Here is a 17,959-nt window from a genome sequence, read left to right on the forward strand (position 1 = left end):
AGAAGTACTTAAAAATTATATTTTCAAATATTGTATAGTGAAATACAGAAGATTCAGACCAACCAATTGTGTGTTTTTTTTAAATAGGACCACGTTATGTGGTACAAATAGGTGACAAAATTATTGACTACAATGAAGAATTCCGCCTCTTTTTGTCAACAAGAAACCCAAATCCTTTTATTCCACCGGATGCAGCTTCCATTGTTACTGAGGTTAACTTTACTACAACAAGAAGTGGATTACGAGGGCAGGTATACATAGATAATAATAATTTACCTTGGAATCTTTTCGAGCTTTATATACCTATTAGACATTGTGAGTGAGAAGCTATTTTGTTAGACTAATTAGTATTTACATTTATGATTTTGAAAATAATACTTGTATGTTGGAGTGAAGCATTCTGGCTTATTTCATTTATCATATGTATTAGACCTGTACATTTGATGCTAATGTCAAATTGCTGCTCCTTTTAATATAACTCTAATTTTAAAGTTTATTTCTGTTATATGTGGTAGAATTTGAGAGATTGATGGATCGTAAAGATCATCTGCATTATATTTTTGGTTTGAAAACTGAAATTTAATTGTGAAAAGTGTAGCTAATTGACTTGTTCAGCTAGTTAAGAGTCTTTGATTCCTGAGCCAGCATTTTTTTTTAACCATTAGAACACATGGCATCTTTGAAGTCAATTTATCTTCATATGGCTCATTACAGTTCAGAATTATTACATAAATTTCAAAATGATTTTTCATGTCCATACTCACATGTTTCCTAACTCATTTTTTCCCCTTTAAAGATATAATGCCAGTTGACTTTTGGAGTATCATCCTATTTTTTACTCATCTAACAATAGTAGATTTTTTTCATCTTTTGATTTATATGATAGCATACATATTTGCTGCAATTTTTACTTGATTGTAATTTTTAAAATTGTCCTTTCAAAATATTTCTTTGTATACCATATGACTCATCAAGTATATTTTAATGAACAATATCTTTTGATTGACTTGATGATACTTCTTTTAAATAAAACAATGTGACAATCATTCAAAACTTGGCAGAATTAATTGACAGAATTGCTCCTGCTGTGTAAAAGATCTCCACAGTAGTTGCAAAAAAGGAGCTATGTAGGTCTTACTTAGCAAGAACTAAATGAAGATGCTTATACAGCAGATTTTGAATTACATATTTTATACCAATGTCTTTCTCTATTTTAGTATTCAGAGTTAACAATTTGACATAGCATTTTTCAACAGCTTCACAGATAACAGCTTTAACAAATACAATGTACATACCATACAACTTGCTGATTTAAAATGTATAATTCAATGGTTTTTTTAGTGGAATTGCTGGGTCTTATGGTTACTTTATATTTGGCAATTTGAGAAACAAATCTTTCCAAAGTGGCTGCACTATTTACTTTCCCACCAGAAATATAGGAGGGTTCCGCTTTTTTCCATATCCTTGCCAACTCTGGTTGTTATGTATCTTTTTAATTGTAGTCATTCTAGTGGGAGTGAAGTGGTATCTTATTGTGGTTTTGATGACATAGTATTTTATCTTTTTATTTGTTTATTTTATTTTATTTTTTTGAGACGGAGTCTGGCACTGTTGCCCAGGCTGGAGTGCAATGGCGCAATCTCGGCTCACTGTAACTTCTGCCTCCTAGGTTTAAGCTATTCTCCTGCCTCAGCCTCCCGAGTAGCTGGGATTACAGGCGCCCACCACCACGCCTGGCTAATTTTTTGTATTTTTAGTAGAGATGGAGTTTCACTATGTTAGCCAGGCTGGTCTCGAACTCCTTACCTCGTGATCCACCCACCTCAGCCTCCCAAAGTGCTGGGATTACAGGCGTGAGCTACCATGCCTGGCCCTTTTTATTTGTTAATGTGAATACTTACTATTAAAAAAATAGTAATCTCATAATTTAGTATATTTAATTTAAAACTAAATATTACACATTGATATGTTAAGTAATGCACTTTCTTACAGCTTTTCTACAGTAGTTAATATTTTACTGATCAGCTTAACTGTTTTGTCTCTTTTTCATCAGATGTAATTGTTGAAGGTGTCTTATGTTTAATTAGAAAGAATGAAATGAGATAACATAGTATCATATTTGTAATAGTCTGTCAAACACAAGGCCTGTTTGCAGGAAGTTTTTGTTTTGTTTTAAGCCTTATTGCTAGAATTACCTTGTCTTTTTGTTATCCCAAGCTTTTAGCTTTAACCATTCAGCATGAGAAACCTGATTTAGAAGAACAGAAAACAAAACTATTACAACAGGAAGAAGATAAGAAAATACAGCTAGCCAAGCTCGAAGAATCTCTTCTAGAGGTAAAAGTCTAGCTATTTAGGTTACTTTTTTCGTATTACTTTTTTTTTAATGAATACAAATAACAGTGTTTGGAAAATTAATAGTATCTTCAGATTTTTTTTTCCAAAGACATATTAGTGTATATCTTACAGTCAAAATTCTAACAAGAAGGGGAGCTATGTTTTGGAATACAAGATCTTAATGAGCAATGTTTAAGACAAGCAATTTTTAACTAATTTGTATTGTTTTATTATTTAATTATATGCTAATAATTTCAAGAAGCATTGAAAGCAAGAAATTATAACAATCTGTAACTTTAAGTAGTTTTTATTTTTTATTAAATTGACAAAATTAATACCTTGCTATGTTTGATAATGATATAATTTCTTAAAATAATTTATGAATTCATTTGATATAAGAAGACTATAATAAAAACAGAATAAAACTTTAAGAGGGCTATAAAATGTTGAAATTCTTCTAAAATAACATAAGTTGCCATAAACATCAAATGAATGACAGTTAATATGGGTTTGCTTTAATTGGTTATTTTTATATGTATAATAATATTCATATTGTTAACTTTCCCTACAGACACTTGCCACATCTCAAGGCAATATTTTGGAAAATAAGGATTTGATTGAGTCTTTGAATCAGACAAAAGCAAGCAGTGCACTTATTCAAGAGTCACTTAAAGAATCTTACAAACTCCAAATTTCCCTTGATCAAGTAATTATTTCCTTCTTTGTAATTTCGTATTATGTTTTCTTGAACATTTAGGTTAATATGATAGAAAATGTAGAATCAGGTCCTCAGGGGAAAGATGATGTGAAAAGAAAAAAGCTATTCAAAAACATCAGAACATTGGGTTTGATTCTAGTTATTGTAGAGAGGGAATTCAGATGTTGGCACACTGAGGATAAGGAGTGTTTGTCAGTATACCCTGCTGCCTTCTACTGATTTCTGGCATAATGTTATCTAAGGTAGAGCTGCAGTTTTGTACTAAAATTGGAAATGAGTATATTGAAAATGAGTATTAGAGAATATCTTTGCCGTTCTTAGAACTTTTCTTAAGTTAAGGCAAGTTAAATATACTAATTAAAAGGGTTATAAGCTCTAAGGTACAGTTATTGGCTCTTTTCATGCTTATAATGAACAGTGCTGGGTACTTTATTATCCTAATGTGGACACCTGTTAGAGTCATCTTCTCTACCTCTAGTTCCATCAGTGTTCTTATTGTCACCAATCCTATACTCATAGTTCGAACTTTTCTTCACATCAGAGATAGCCTGATAGCGCTGTGCTGTCTTGCGTTACCTTAACTGATTCTCTTTTGAAATGTAAAATTGGATCATCTATTCTCTGATCACAAATATTTACCATTTCATCTTACCCACTTTCCCCTAATACTAGTGCTGTTGGTCCTCATTAAGACCAATCTGTGAACCACTTCTAGCTCTGTCAACTGAGAGGTAGAAAGGTGTTTAAAATATATTGCTATAGTCTGAATATTTGTGTGTCCTCATCACCCCCAAAATTCATATGTGGAAATGTAATCCCCAGTGTAATAGTATTAAGAGGTGGAGGTTTTAGAAGGTGACTAGGTCATGAGGGTGGAGCTCTCATGAGTGGGATTAGTAACCTTATAAAAGAAGGCCAAGGGAGTTTTTTAGCCCCTTCCAGCATGTGAGAACACAGCAAGAAGCAGTTCTTTCTGTGAACCAGGAAACAAGCTCTCACGAGACACCAAATCTGTTGGCACCTTGATCTTGGACTTCCCAGCTTCCAGAACTGGGTGAAATAAATTTCTGCTATATAAAAGCAGAACGAGTTTAGTGTATTTTGTTATAGGTAGCCTTAATAGACTAAGACATATATTCTTTGCAGTTTTATAAAAATGAGGAAGAAAAACTAGATTTTGCTATCTTTTTTAGTTAGAAACCATGATTCATCATCTTCATTTGTTTTATGTGCATAGAAAAAGTAAGGTTTTTTTATTACTTGGGTAGATATGTGCATTGTAGTCTTTAGGTGGCAGTAAAGCACTAATTCTAAGGTGTTTCCACCCTATCCCCTACTGATCTCTTGATCCATAGGAACGGGATGCCTATCTCCCCCTGGCTGAGAGTGCCAGCAAGATGTACTTCATTATTTCTGATTTGTCCAAAATTAATAACATGTACCGTTTTAGTTTGGCTGCTTTTCTCCGACTTTTCCAACGAGCTCTACAAAACAAACAGGTAAGCTGTTGGATACCCTGTACCAGAGACTGAATTACAGGGATTACTTTACTAGGGATAGTACTTAATTTATAATAAAAATTATTAAGCAAACTTTCATAGAATTATGTTCCAAAAGACCACATGTAACACTTTTAAGCTATATAAAGAAACTACTTAATTTCTTTTTATATTGTTAACAAGGTGTCCCAATGTGACAATCTTTTTAATGAAAACAGTTTATGTTCTGAGTATAAATTAATAAGTAATATATAATCATTTAAAAAACCCAGTGATTCTGAAAGGTATAAAAATAAGAATTATCCCTATAATATCATTACCTGGGGAAAACAACATTTAACATTTTATTATATATCCTTGTTGTTTAAGGCAGTAACTTTCCAGATAATGGAGGTACACTTGTCCACTGCCTTATCAAGCATGTATTCTAATGGAGGGAAGTATGTATTAAAGGATAACAAATTGTTTTAACTAAAAGATACAATACTGTGCTTTAAAAAGTGTATTAGTGTATTATGGACAGCTTTCCTACCAGTGAATATAAACTTAATGTTTTTAAGAGATGGTGAGGCTATACCATACTTTATTTAACCACCTCCCATATATGCACATTGTTCTAATTATTTCTGTTGAGTATCGTATTAATCCGAAACTTGGCCAATTAAAACTATTTTCTTATGCTTATTGATTCTATTGGAAATTTAGTCAGGACTCAGCAGGGATGACTTTGTTTGTTTCACAACGTCTAGGACCTCAGCTGAGAGGACTTGAGAGTTGAGGGGCTAAGACAGGTGCTTCACTTGCCCGCCTGGTGCTGTGGGTTGGGAGGACTTGACGACAGGACTGCCAACTGCAGCACCTCTGCAGGAGGCTTGGCTTTTTCACAGCACTGAGTAGATGGATGGACTTCTTATTTTTTAGCTCAAGGCACTAAGTATGTGTTTCAGTGAATAAGGCTGAAACTGAATAGCCTTTTAAAATGCAGCCTTAGGTCTGTGTCATTTCTGCTGTATTGTACTGGCTGAAGCAGTCACAAATCTATGTAGAGTACAAAACTTTCTGCTGTTTAAAAAATCTACTGGATCTTGTAGGTACAGTACTGTGTCTTATGATAGAGTGACTTTTAGGAAATCCAAGTCTCAATTTCATATGTGATCTTTGTTAACATATAGTGAAATGAATACAAGTATTTGCTATCTAAAGTAATGATTAGTTGTCTTGGTTAGAACATGCTACTACAAGGCTAGAAGCCTAGGATTAATGCATCTGAGTTCCAGTTCATAATGTTTTCTTTATACCAATTTCACACATTTCTTTGCTGATCCTGGATGTATTTTTCTAAGCATTAAAATTGTTTTACTAGGTTTTTTTCTTGGTATTAATTTATAAATCACAAGGAAGCAAGCAAATTTAGTCTAATTGTTATACCAGAATTGATCTTCCTAAGACATGTATTCTCCAAATGCTCTGAGATGTAAAACTTACATCACACTAAGGGAAAAGGACAGGTTGACAACCTACCCTTCCTCCATTTCTATGCCAAACAATTTTTCTTTAATCAAAGGAAATAGACACTAATAACATGTTTTTCAATTATTACAATCTTGCAAAACGGAATTATTATATCAGATCAAAAACTAAAATTTTATGTGAGTTTTTACAGCATCAATTTCAAAGTTATTGTTCATCCTTATTCATCCTGCAGCACATGATTTAAGATCATTGAGGTTCCCATATTGAGAATGAGAAAATTCTTTATAAGGTATTCTTGTCATATTGTTTTGGGGCTGGATTGATAATTATAATATAAATAATTAAAATGGCCTTAACCTAGATTGATGTAGATAGTATTTTAATGCTGATAGGAGACTGATATAAAATTCAACTTATATTGTATTATTGGGAATTGATTGTAATTTTCATTTCTTGAAAGCTTTAACTCTATACATTAAAGAAAGATGCGTCATTTTTTAATATTATATTAGTATACAAGTTTAATGCACTTGTTTAGTCCCTTGAATTTGATGGTTAAAGATACTTGTTTCAGAATCAGCTTTGAATCTGGAGGAACAATTTATAGGCGTACTTTTTAAATGTTTATAAATTTCCTAATGAATTTCCAATTATAATCTACAGGATTCTGAAAATACAGAACAGAGAATCCAGTCACTTATCAGCTCATTACAACATATGGTATATGAATATATATGTCGTTGTCTATTTAAGGTAAGAAGCATCATATTTTTCAAATATAAAATACTACTTGTTCTGTGATTTAACGTAATATTTATAGTTATAGTATAACTCTTTCCCTACTGGAAAGGTATTAAAAATGGTATTTCTGGTATTTTTCCAGAACATTTAACTGGAATGCCTTATAGCATTCTTGGTTGTAGTGGGGAAAAAAGTGACAAGTGAAGAAGGGACAGCAAACACTGCGTTAGCTGACTTAGTTCTAAATATTCCAGTGGTCACCAAAAGAGATAATGACAATGGATTATGTATCTCATTATATAGCTAGACTTTCTCATCCTCAGCAACTGACATTTTGGGCTACATAATTCTTTGTGTGTGGGATGTTGTTCTGTGCGTTTTAGGATGTTTAGCAGCATCTCTGCCTTCCAGCATTCCTTCCCATCAATTGTGAGAATAAAAAATGTCTGTGGACATTGTCCAATGTCTCTGGGGTTGAGGAACAAAATTATTTTGCATTGTTAGCATTAGGAAGTAAACTAGTGTTTGATCCTGAGTTATGAAATTTTTTACAGAAGTCTTCATATTACGTGTGTTCCAGAAGAGAACACACATCGGACAATATTTTAGAAATTTTAGATATTAGAAAACGCAGAGGCCTTTTTGTACTTAGAATTTTTTTTTTTTTTTTTGGAGACAGAGTCTCTCTCTGTTGCCCAGGCTGGAGTGCAGTGGCGAAGTCTTGGCTCACTGCAAGCTCTGCCTCCTGGGTTCAAGTCATTCTCCTGCTTCAGCCTCCCAAGTAACTGGGACTACTGGCGTGCACCACCATGCCTGGGTAACTTTTGTATTTTTAGTAGAGAGAGGGATTCACCATGTTGACCAGGGTGTCTCGAACTCCTGGCCTCATGTGATCTGCCCTCCTCAGCCTCCCAAAGTGCTGGGATTATAGATATGAGCCTCCATGCCCAGCCAGAATTTTTTTTTTTTTTAAATAGCAATCTGTGGGTATAGCTTAAGACATAATGTTGCAGAATAGCTTTGTAAAGGCAATTAATTCAGAGAAATAGAATTATTATGGTTCAATTATATAGGCTTCTTAGAAAGTGTTGAAAAATATACAGTTAATGTATTTTTAGAACAGGATAGTAATTTTTGTGATTTTGTTGAGGATCTTTATTTGAGATACAGAATAAATCCTTCAGAAGCTCTCTGGGCAGGGCATCTCTGAAAGAAAGGCAACACCCCCAGTCAGGGGCTTATAGATAAAACTCCCATCTCCCTGAGACAGAGCAGCTGGGGGGAAGGGGTGGCTGTGGGCGCAGCATCAGCAGACTTAAACATTCCCACCTGCTGGCTCTGAAGAGAGCATCGGATCTCCAACACAGAGCTTGAGCTCTGCTAAGGGACAGATTGCCTTCTCAAGTGGGTCCCTGACCCCTGTGCCTCCTGACTGGGAGACACCTCCCAGAAGGGGTCGACAGACATCTCATATAGGAGCACTGCAGCTGGCATCTGGTGCGTGCCCCTCTAGGACGAAGCTTCCAGAGGAAAGAACAGGCAGCAATCTTTGCTGTTCTGCAGACTCTGCTGGTGATACCCAGGCAAACAGGGTCAGGAGTGGACCTCCTGCAAAGTCCAGCAGACCTGCAGCAGAGGGGCCTGACTGTTAGAAGGAAAACTAACAAACAGAAAGGAATAGCATCAACATCAACAAAAAGGACATCTATACAAAAACCCCATCCGAAGGTCACCAAGATCAAAGACCAAAGGTAGATAAATCCACGAAGATGAGGAAAAACCAGCGCAAAAAGACTGAAAATTCCAAAAACCAGAATGCCTCTTTTTCTCCAAAGGATCACAACTCCTTGCCAGCAAGGGAACAAAACTGGACGGAGAATGAGTTTGATGAACTGACAGAAGTAGGCTTCAGAAGGTGGGTAATAACAGACTCCTCCAAGCTAAAGGAGCATGTTCCAACCCAATGCAAGGAAGCTAAGAACCTTGAAAAAAGGTTAGAGGAATTGCTAACTAGAATAACCAGTTTAGAGAAGAACATAAATGACCTGATGGAGCTGAAAAACACAGCACAAGAACTGTGTGAAGCATACACAAGTATCAATAGCTGAATTGATTAAGCAGAAGAAAGAATATCAGAGATTGAAGATCAACTTAATGAAATAAAGCATGAAGACAAGATTAGAGAAAAAAGAATGAAAAGGAACAAACAAAGCCTCCAAGAATTATGGGACTATGTGAAAAGACTAAATCTGCATTTGATTGGTGTACCTGAAAGTGACGGGGAGAATGGAACCAAGTTAGAAAACAGTCTTCAGGATATTATCCAGGAGAACTTGCCCAGCCTGGCAAGACAGGTTAACATTCAAATTCAGGAAGTACAGAGAACACCACAAAGATATTCCTTGAGAAGAGCAACCCCAAGACACATAATCATCAGATTCACCAAGGTTGAAATGTAGGAAAAAATGTTAAGGGCAGCCAGAGAGAAAGGTCGGGTTACTCACAAAGGGAAGCCCATCAGACTAACAGGGGATCTCTCTGCAGAAACCCTACAAGCCAGAAGAGAGTAGGGGCCAATATTCAACATTCCTAAAGAAAAGAATTTTCAACCCATAATTTCATATCTCACCAAACTAAGCTTCATAAGTGAAGGAGAAATAAAATCCTTTACAGACAAGCAAATGCTGAGAAATTTTGTCACTACCAGGCCTGCCTTACAAGAGCTCCTGAAGGAAGCACCAAATATGGAAAGGAAAAATCAGTACCAGCCACTGCAAAAACATACCAAATTGTAAAGACCATCAACACTATGAAGAAACTGCATCAACTAACAGGCAAAATAACCAGCATCATAATGACAGGATCAAATTCACACATAACAATATTAACCTTAAATGTAAATGGAGTAAATGCTCCAATTAAAAGACACAGACTGGCAAATAGGATAGAGTCAACACCCATCGGTGTGCTGCATTCAGGAGACCCATCTCACATGCAGAGATACACATAGGCCCAAAATAAAGGGATGGAGGAATATTTACCAAGCAAATGGAAAGCAAAAAAAAAAAAAAAAAAAAAAAAGCAGGGTTTGCAATCCTAGTCTCTGACAAAACAGACTTTAAATGAACAAAGATCAAAAAAGACAAGGGCATTGCATATGGTAAAGGGATCAATGCAACGAGAAGAGCTAACTATGCTAAATATATATGCGCCCAGTACAGGAGCACCCAGATTCATAAAGCAAGTTCTTAGAGACCTACAAAGAGACTTAGACTCCCATGTAGTAATATTGAGAGAGTTTAACACCCCACTGTCAATATTAGACAGATTAATGAGACAGAAAATTAACAAGGGTATTCAGGAGTCGAACTCAGCTCTGGACCAAGCGGACCTAACTCCACCCCATCTACAGAACTCTCCACTCCAAATCAACAGAATGTACATTTTTCTCAGCACCACATCACACTTATTCTAAAATTGACCACATAATTGGAAGTAAAACACTCCTCAGCAAATGGAAAAGAACGGAAATCATAACAAATAGTCTCTCACAACACAGTGCAATCAAATTAGAACTAAGGATTAAGAAACTCACTCAAAACTGCACAACTACATGGAAACTGAACAACCTGCTTCTGAATGACTAGTAGGTAAATAACAAAATTAAGGCAGAAATAAATAAGTTATTTGAAACCAACGAGAACAAAGACACAATGTACCAGAATCTCTGGAACACAGCTAGAGCAGTGTTTAGAGGGAAAGTTATAGCACTAAATGCCAACAGGAGAAAGTAGGAAAGATCTAAAATCAACCCCCTAACATCACAATTAAAAGAACTAGAGAAGCAAGAGCAAACACATTCAAAAGCTAGCAGAAGACAAGAAACAGCTATCAGAGCAGAACTGAAGGAGATAGAGACATGAAAAACTCTTAAAAAAATCAATGAATCCAGGAGCTGGTTTTATGAAAAGATCAACAAAATAGACCGCTAGCAAGACTAATAAAGAAGAAAAGAGAGAAGAATCAAATAGATGCAATAAAAAATGATAAAGGGGATATCACCACCGATCCCACAGAAATACAAACTACCATCAGAGAATACTATAAACACCTCTACGCAAATAAACTAGAAAATCTAGAAGAAATGGATAAATTCCTGGACACATACACCCTCCCAAGACTAAACCAGGAAGAAGTCGAATCCCTGAATAGACCAATAACAAGTTCTGAAATTGAGGCAGTAATTAATAGCCTACCAACCAAAAAAAGCCCAGGGTCAGATGGATTCACAGCCAAATTCTACCAGAGGTACAAAGAGGAGTTGGTACCATTCCTTCTGAAACTATTCCATGCAATAGAAAAAGAGGGACCCCTACCTAACTCATTTTATGAGACCAGGATCATCATGATACCACAACGTGGCAGAAACACAACAAAAAAAGAAAATTTCAGGCCAATATCGCTGATGAACATTGATTAGAAAATCCTCAATAAAATATTGGCAAACCGAATCCAGCAGCACATCAAAAAGCTTATCCACCACAATCAAGTTGGCTTCATCCCTGGTTCAACATATGCAAATCAATAAATATAATCCATGACATGAACAGAACTAATGACAAAAACCACATGATTATCTCAATAGATGCAGAAAAGGCCTCCAATAAAATTCAACACACCTTCATGCTGAAAACTTCATAAACTAGGTATTGATGGAACGTATCTCAAAATAATAAGAGCTATTTATGACAGACCCACAGCCAATGTCATACCGAATGTGAATCAATATCAGTATCATACTGAATGGGCAAAAGCTGGAAGCATTCCCTTTGAAAACCAGCACATGATAAGGATGCCCTCTCTCACAACTCCTATTCAACATGGTACTGGAAGTTCTGGCCAGGGCAAAGTGGCAAGAGAAAGAAATAAAGGGTATTCAGATAGGAAGAGAGAAAGTCAAATTGTCTCTGTTTGGAGATGACATGATTGTATATTTAGAAAACCCCATCGTCTCAGCCCAAAAGCTCCTTAAGCTAATAAGCAACTTCAGCAAAGTCTCAGGATACAAAAAAAGGATGAATTCATGTCCTTTGCAGGGACATGGATGAAGCTGGAAACCATCATTCTCAGCAAACTAACACAGGAACAGAAAACCAAACACCACATGTTCTCACACGTAGGTAGGAGTTGAACAATAAGAACACATGGACACAGAGAGGGGAACATCACACACTGGAGCCTGTTGGGGGGTGCGGTAAAAAGTGAGTGAGAACATTAGGACAAATACCTAATGCAGGTAGGGCTTAAAACCTAGATGATGGGTTGATCGGTTTAGCAAACCACCACGGCACATGTATAACTATGTAATAAACCTGCACGTTCAGCACAAGTATCCCAGAACTTAAGTAAAATTTTAAAAAACAGAAAAGAAAGATAGTCTTCAAGCTCTCAGATTCTTTCCTCCACTTCATCTATTCTGCTCTTAATAATTTAGATTCCTTATAAAATTCTTGTAGTAAGTTTTTCAGCTGTATCAGATCAGTTGTATTCTTCTCTATACCGACTAGGTTGTCTGTCAGTCCCTGCATTGTTTTATCATGATTTTTAGCTTTCTTGGATTGCCTTTCAATGTATTCCTGTAGCTCAATGATCTTTATTTTGAATTCTATTATCTTCTTTATCCATATTATGAATTCTATTTCTGTCATTTCAGCCATCTCAATGTGGTTGCTTGCTGGAAAGGTGATGAAGTTGTTTGGAGGAAAGAAGGCACTCTGGCCTTTTGAGCTTTCAGGTTTCTTGGGCTGGTTCTTTCTCATCTTTTTGGGCCTACCTATCTTCAGTCTTTGAGGTTGCTCACCTTTCGATGGTTTTTTTGTTTTTCCTTTTATTCTATTTAATGACATTGAATGTTTGATTGAGGTTTAAGCTGGATTTAGTTAGCTGCTTTTGTTTCTGGAAGATTTTAGTGGGCCAGCGCTCATCTCCCATTTCCTGGACTGTGTGCCCTAACTCTGGGGGACTCATATTGGGCCCCAACTTTGATCTCTGGCTCCTTGGGGTTAGGAATCCACTGTGGTTGGGAATCCACATGTAGGGCAGTCAGGGTGGGTGGGGTGGGAGGGGCAAGGCGCTCTGTGACCGCTGGTCACTACACTGCGATAGGTGGTGTTACCTAAGTGTTTCATAGTGCGGTTACAGTGGGATTCATCCCTGTTTGCAAGTGCCAGCAGCAGTGGTAGCAGCAGCTGTGTCAGGGTACTAAATGGTCCCAGAGTGCCTACCTTTCTGCTTGCATTAACCAGGTGGGGGAGGCAGCACAGCTGCGGGGAGGGCATGTGGGGCCCCTGCAGATGACTGTGTGCATGATCACACTGCAGGTGGTGTTGGCTCAAGGGCAGGGCCCCTGTGGGTGCAGGTGGGTGCCTTCTCTGTGACCCTGCAAGCAGGAGCGGTCACTCAGGTCTGGGGAGCATCTTCTCTTCTCTGCACTTAGTTCCATTCCAGTGGCAGTCTTAGCACAAAAGTCAGCCACTAGCGGGGGTGGGGCCAGCTGGTTCTCTGCCTGCCAAGGCTCTTTTTGCGATGGTGGTGGGTGGTGGGAGGTTGGGCAGACTGCACTTTCACATGCTGGTATGGCAAGGAAAGCAAAAGCTGGCTATGCATACATGCACCGCAAAGATGTGTGGAGTTGCTGTGGATCGTGGGGAAGCTGGAGTGTGGGGAGGGAGCGCATGGGCTGGTGCACAGCTATGGAGACAGCTCTGCTGGAGCTGTCTGCCAGTCAGGCACAGTCTGCTAATGCAGGTCCCCTGGGCACCTGAGGCTGCCCTGCAAGCAGGCGTGGCCAGATTGGGGCTTCCGGAGATGCCAGCAGACCAAGGGGTGCTCAGGTTAAAACAGCCAGTCTAATGGGCAAGACTGCCCTGCAGAGTTCAGGACAAACAGTTCCCTTAGAGCTAAAGTCTCCAATGGGAGCAAGTTGAGCTGGGAATGGCCATTCCTGGCCAGCTCTGCTGCACATACTCCGGTACCAAACCCCCTGGGCTCCACATCAGCTGGCTTGCTGCCCCTACCACTTCTGTAAGCCCCTCTCCCTGCCAACTCAAGTGTCTGTGGTGGTCAAGGGATCTTTTCCTGCCCGGGTTCCAGAGGCCTGTGGCGAGAAAAGGTTGCATCTTGCCGGTTCAACTCACTTAGTCCCCAGAGCCACTGAGGGCCAGGAACAAGTCCAGGTGTGCAGTAGCTCTGGGTGGGGTTCCCAGCTTTCTCCTCCTTCAACCGAGCTTCTGTGTCTTCCCTGTATCACTCTTGGTGCTTTCCCTCTGAAGATCTGTTAGGGCCCGCCAGTCTTCTTGGCCCTTCAGTGGGAGCTGTTCCACCTGGTTGCATCTAGTAGGTCATCTTGCCTTCCACTCTGTATATTTTCCTTGTAAAGATTTTGCACTTGACTATAATCCAAACCTCACTTTTTAAGCCTCAATTTTACCTTGTGTAAAATGGGAAATTATAAGCAAATGATCTCAAAGCCATTTTGTTACTAAAATGTTATGATCCTAATTATGAAGATAACCTTCATAGTGATAGTTTCATTAGTTATAGATATCCTGTTTTGTCTAATATTGTATAATGTATTATCTCATGCAATACTTAAAACTTTTTCATTATACAAACAAAACTTTAAAATATTTTTAGAGTTTCAAGCTTAATGGAACTATATAGAAAGGAAACCTTAAAGATCCATTTAACTATTTCCATCCCTTATTCCTTCATCAGAGTAAACCAGTTCAAGGTTTGATTTGTTCCTTATCATCCATTTCCTATCTCTTTATATTCATAAGTACAAATATATAGATATAATTTTTAAATTTTTCTTGCTATATATTTTGTTCCATAATTTCTCTCTTCTTTTTGTAGTAAGGCCTGAAGATCTTTCCATGAGTATAAACATGTTAACTTCATTATTTTTAGTGACTGTGTGCTATTTTATAATATGACCATGTACTACTTCATCTACTACTCTCAGTGAATATTAGATTATTTATACATTTTTTGTTCTTATACATGACTATAGTGAATATCCTATATGGTACACTTATTTTTATGTATAGTATAAGTATTTCTATTCAGTAAATTTCTGTAAGTATAATTGCTGGTCCAAGGATTGCTTTATAAATCTTATTGAATATTAGCAGATTGCTTTCTGAAAAGCTTTTTACCAGTTAATATCTCTACCCACATAATAATAAAGGTATATCTTTATCTCCTTTGTTGCACCTTATCAACCCAGGATGTTATCAGTCCTTTAAATTTTTACCAAGCTCTGGTTTATAAATGTTATCTTATTGTTTTTAAAGTTGTTTATTTCTACCTTCTTCCCTTACCTTGTCATATTCATCTGTTTTCTTGATATTTTAAATAAGCTTTTGCTTTATATAGAAAAAGTCTATTTTGCTGTAATTATTATCTTCTATTTTTTAATCATTGGATTTACTTAATTTATACTTCTAGGTTGTTAGATTTGTATGAGTAGTTTTTTTAAATGTAGTTTTAATCTGTTTTATTTTCTAGGCAATATATTAAGCCTACGAAGTTTCGTTATTGGTCAGTCTTGTAATAATGTGTTTAATGGTTTTTAAATTTTTATTTCTAAGACCTTTACACTGAAATGGGCTGTGATTTATGAAAATGTTATGGAGTTACAGTTATTTTAAGCTGCCCCAAATCTTTTTTGAAAGTGGATATGTTATAAATAAATATTATTATTAAAAATTGTTTATGGCAAAAGAGAATATAAACTTCCTTCTTGTTCATTTGAAATATTAGTAGCTTTTCTTATTAGGAGTTAGTTGCTTGTTTCTAAGCTATGTGTCTTATCTCAGTTTATATATTCTCATTTTATCGTTAGTAATACAGTATATTCACTGATGAAATTTGAACCCCTGTGTCATATTTTATAATGTAATTTGGGAAGGATAAAATGATTTAATATATTAGTGGACTATAGTGACTGCAGTGGGATTATTTCTTTGAAGTTACTTTAACTTTTAAAAATGCATATATTAGGCAAAAGGCAGCATTTTGTTCACTAGGACAGACGTTGAGAGGCTTAAGCTTATTAATATTTTAGTTAGTACTCAATTGGGATTTTTCATTGCTTACTTTGAATAATACTTTTCTATTGTGAACATGTGAAAATCATTTTTAAAAAGCTATTTTTAAGACATGTTTTAATTGATGATGGAATATCTGTTTTGGAAAATTCATATTTCTGTTTGAGTAATATTAAATTCAACATTCCATAGAGTTTCAGTGATTAATAAAAATTCAGAAAGCACATTAATCATATAGCAATGAGATACATTTCTCAAATTTATCACTATAACCTTACTTAGGATGGAACCAATTTTATATTTAATGAAAGCTTTTAGGGTTTTTAGCAGTCAGCGTAACATTAAACTACCTGCTAGGTTTCTCTCATGCTGAATTTGCTCTTGTGTTGGTGACAGCAGTATGGCAACAGTAGACTCTTGAAATAGAGAGAGACTAGGATTATTAATATTCACATCACATTGAACTGAAAGCAAGTTGACCTGGAACAGAAACATGATTGACTTATTTTGTAGCAGGAAATTTAGACTGTTAATAAACTAAAACACATAAAGAAAGCTGTCTAGACCTTTCAGTTTATATTATTAGCTATTCCATTGTTTTTTCTTCAAGAGATCAAAAGTTTTTATTTCAGTTACCTATTTCAGACAATTATAGGATAAATTGTATATTTTGTTCCCTAAAACTTATGTTTATAATAAAACAATTTTTATATCTAAGTACCTTTATGTATTGTTTCTTCATTTACTTTATAATTTAGAATAGGTACAAAATAATGGAAGTTGTTGGAGTATTCATTTTCAACTATATAGGGTGAGTATACAGAAAATGGTTGGAGCTGGGTGCGGTGGTTCACACCTGTAATCCCAGCACTTTGGGAGTCAAGGCAGGCGGATCACCTGAGGTCAGGATTTGAGATCAGTCTGACCAACATGGTGAAACGCCATCTCTACTGAAAATACAAAAATTAGCTGGGCATGGTGGGGTGTGCCTGTAATCCCACCTACTCTGGAGACTGAGGCACGAGAATTGCTTGAACCCAGGAGGTGGAGGTTGCAGTGAGCTGAGATCACGCCACTGCATTCCAGATTGGGTGACAGAGCAAGATTCCATCTCAAAAAAAAAAAAAAAAATAATAATAATAAAAGAAAGAAAATGGTTGGAAGGAAGGATTGGGAGCATGTGCAGTAGTCATCTCTTATCTATGGGGGATACAATCCAAGACACCCCGCATGGGTGCCTAGGACTGTAGATAGTACCAAACCCTATAGGAAAAAACATAATATATGTAGGCTTTGGTATTATCCTATACATATCTATATCTACAGATATATATCAGTGATAAAGTTTAATTTATAAATTAGGCACAGTAAGAGATTAACAATAATAACTAATAGTAAAATAGAACAATTGTAACAATAGTGAAATAGAGCAATTGTAACAATTGTAAAATAGAACAATTGTAACAATATATAGTGATGAAAATTATATGATGTGGTACCTCTCTCTCTCTCTCTCTCTCTCTCGAACTATCTTATTGTACTCTACTCACCCTTCTTGTGATCTGTTGATCTGATAACTGAGATGGCTACTAAGTGATTAACGGACAGGTAGCATATATGGCATGGATCTGCTGGACAAAGGGACAATTGATGACCCAGACAGGATGGAGCCAGACAGCACATGATCTCATCATGTTACTCAGAATGGCTTGCAATTTAATATCTATGAGTTCTTTGTTTTTGGGGTTTTCCATTTAATATTTTCAGACCACTGTTGACTGTAGGTAACTGAATCCACAGGAATTAGAATACTATATTCTTACTGTTTCCCTTACTTCTTGGAATTAATATCTTAGATTTGAAATGGCATAGAAAAATGGTGGAATATGAGGAGAAATTGTTTTCATGCAAACTTCTTGAAAGTTAGTGTCTGTGCCGCTCACCTTGCCTCCATTTCCATATGAATTTGTTTGTTGATGGAGTAAAATTCAGATATATATTATGTTTTAAAGTATAATATTACTAACCTCACATGATTGTATTTAGTGTGCAAATAATTTAATTTGGATTCTGCTATT

General features: G+C 36.3%; 1 protein-coding gene across 5 annotated transcripts in view; it reads left to right on the top strand.

Annotated features, from left to right (window-relative positions):
• Window positions 1-17,959, top strand: part of DYNC2H1 (dynein cytoplasmic 2 heavy chain 1) — a 370,438-nt gene that overhangs the window by 143,772 nt on the left and 208,707 nt on the right. For all 5 annotated transcript variants that reach the window (NM_001080463.2, NM_001377.3, XM_017018291.2 and 2 more), the window contains 5 exons: window positions 88-251; window positions 2,218-2,337; window positions 2,909-3,043; window positions 4,411-4,554; window positions 6,691-6,780. In NM_001080463.2, the coding sequence (NP_001073932.1) occupies window positions 88-251; window positions 2,218-2,337; window positions 2,909-3,043; window positions 4,411-4,554; window positions 6,691-6,780 (653 nt within the window). The remainder of the gene's footprint in view (window positions 1-87; window positions 252-2,217; window positions 2,338-2,908; window positions 3,044-4,410; window positions 4,555-6,690; window positions 6,781-17,959) is intronic.

This window comes from Homo sapiens, chromosome 11, assembly GCF_000001405.40.
Source record: "Homo sapiens chromosome 11, GRCh38.p14 Primary Assembly".
NCBI classification, from domain to species: Eukaryota; Metazoa; Chordata; class Mammalia; order Primates; family Hominidae; genus Homo; species Homo sapiens.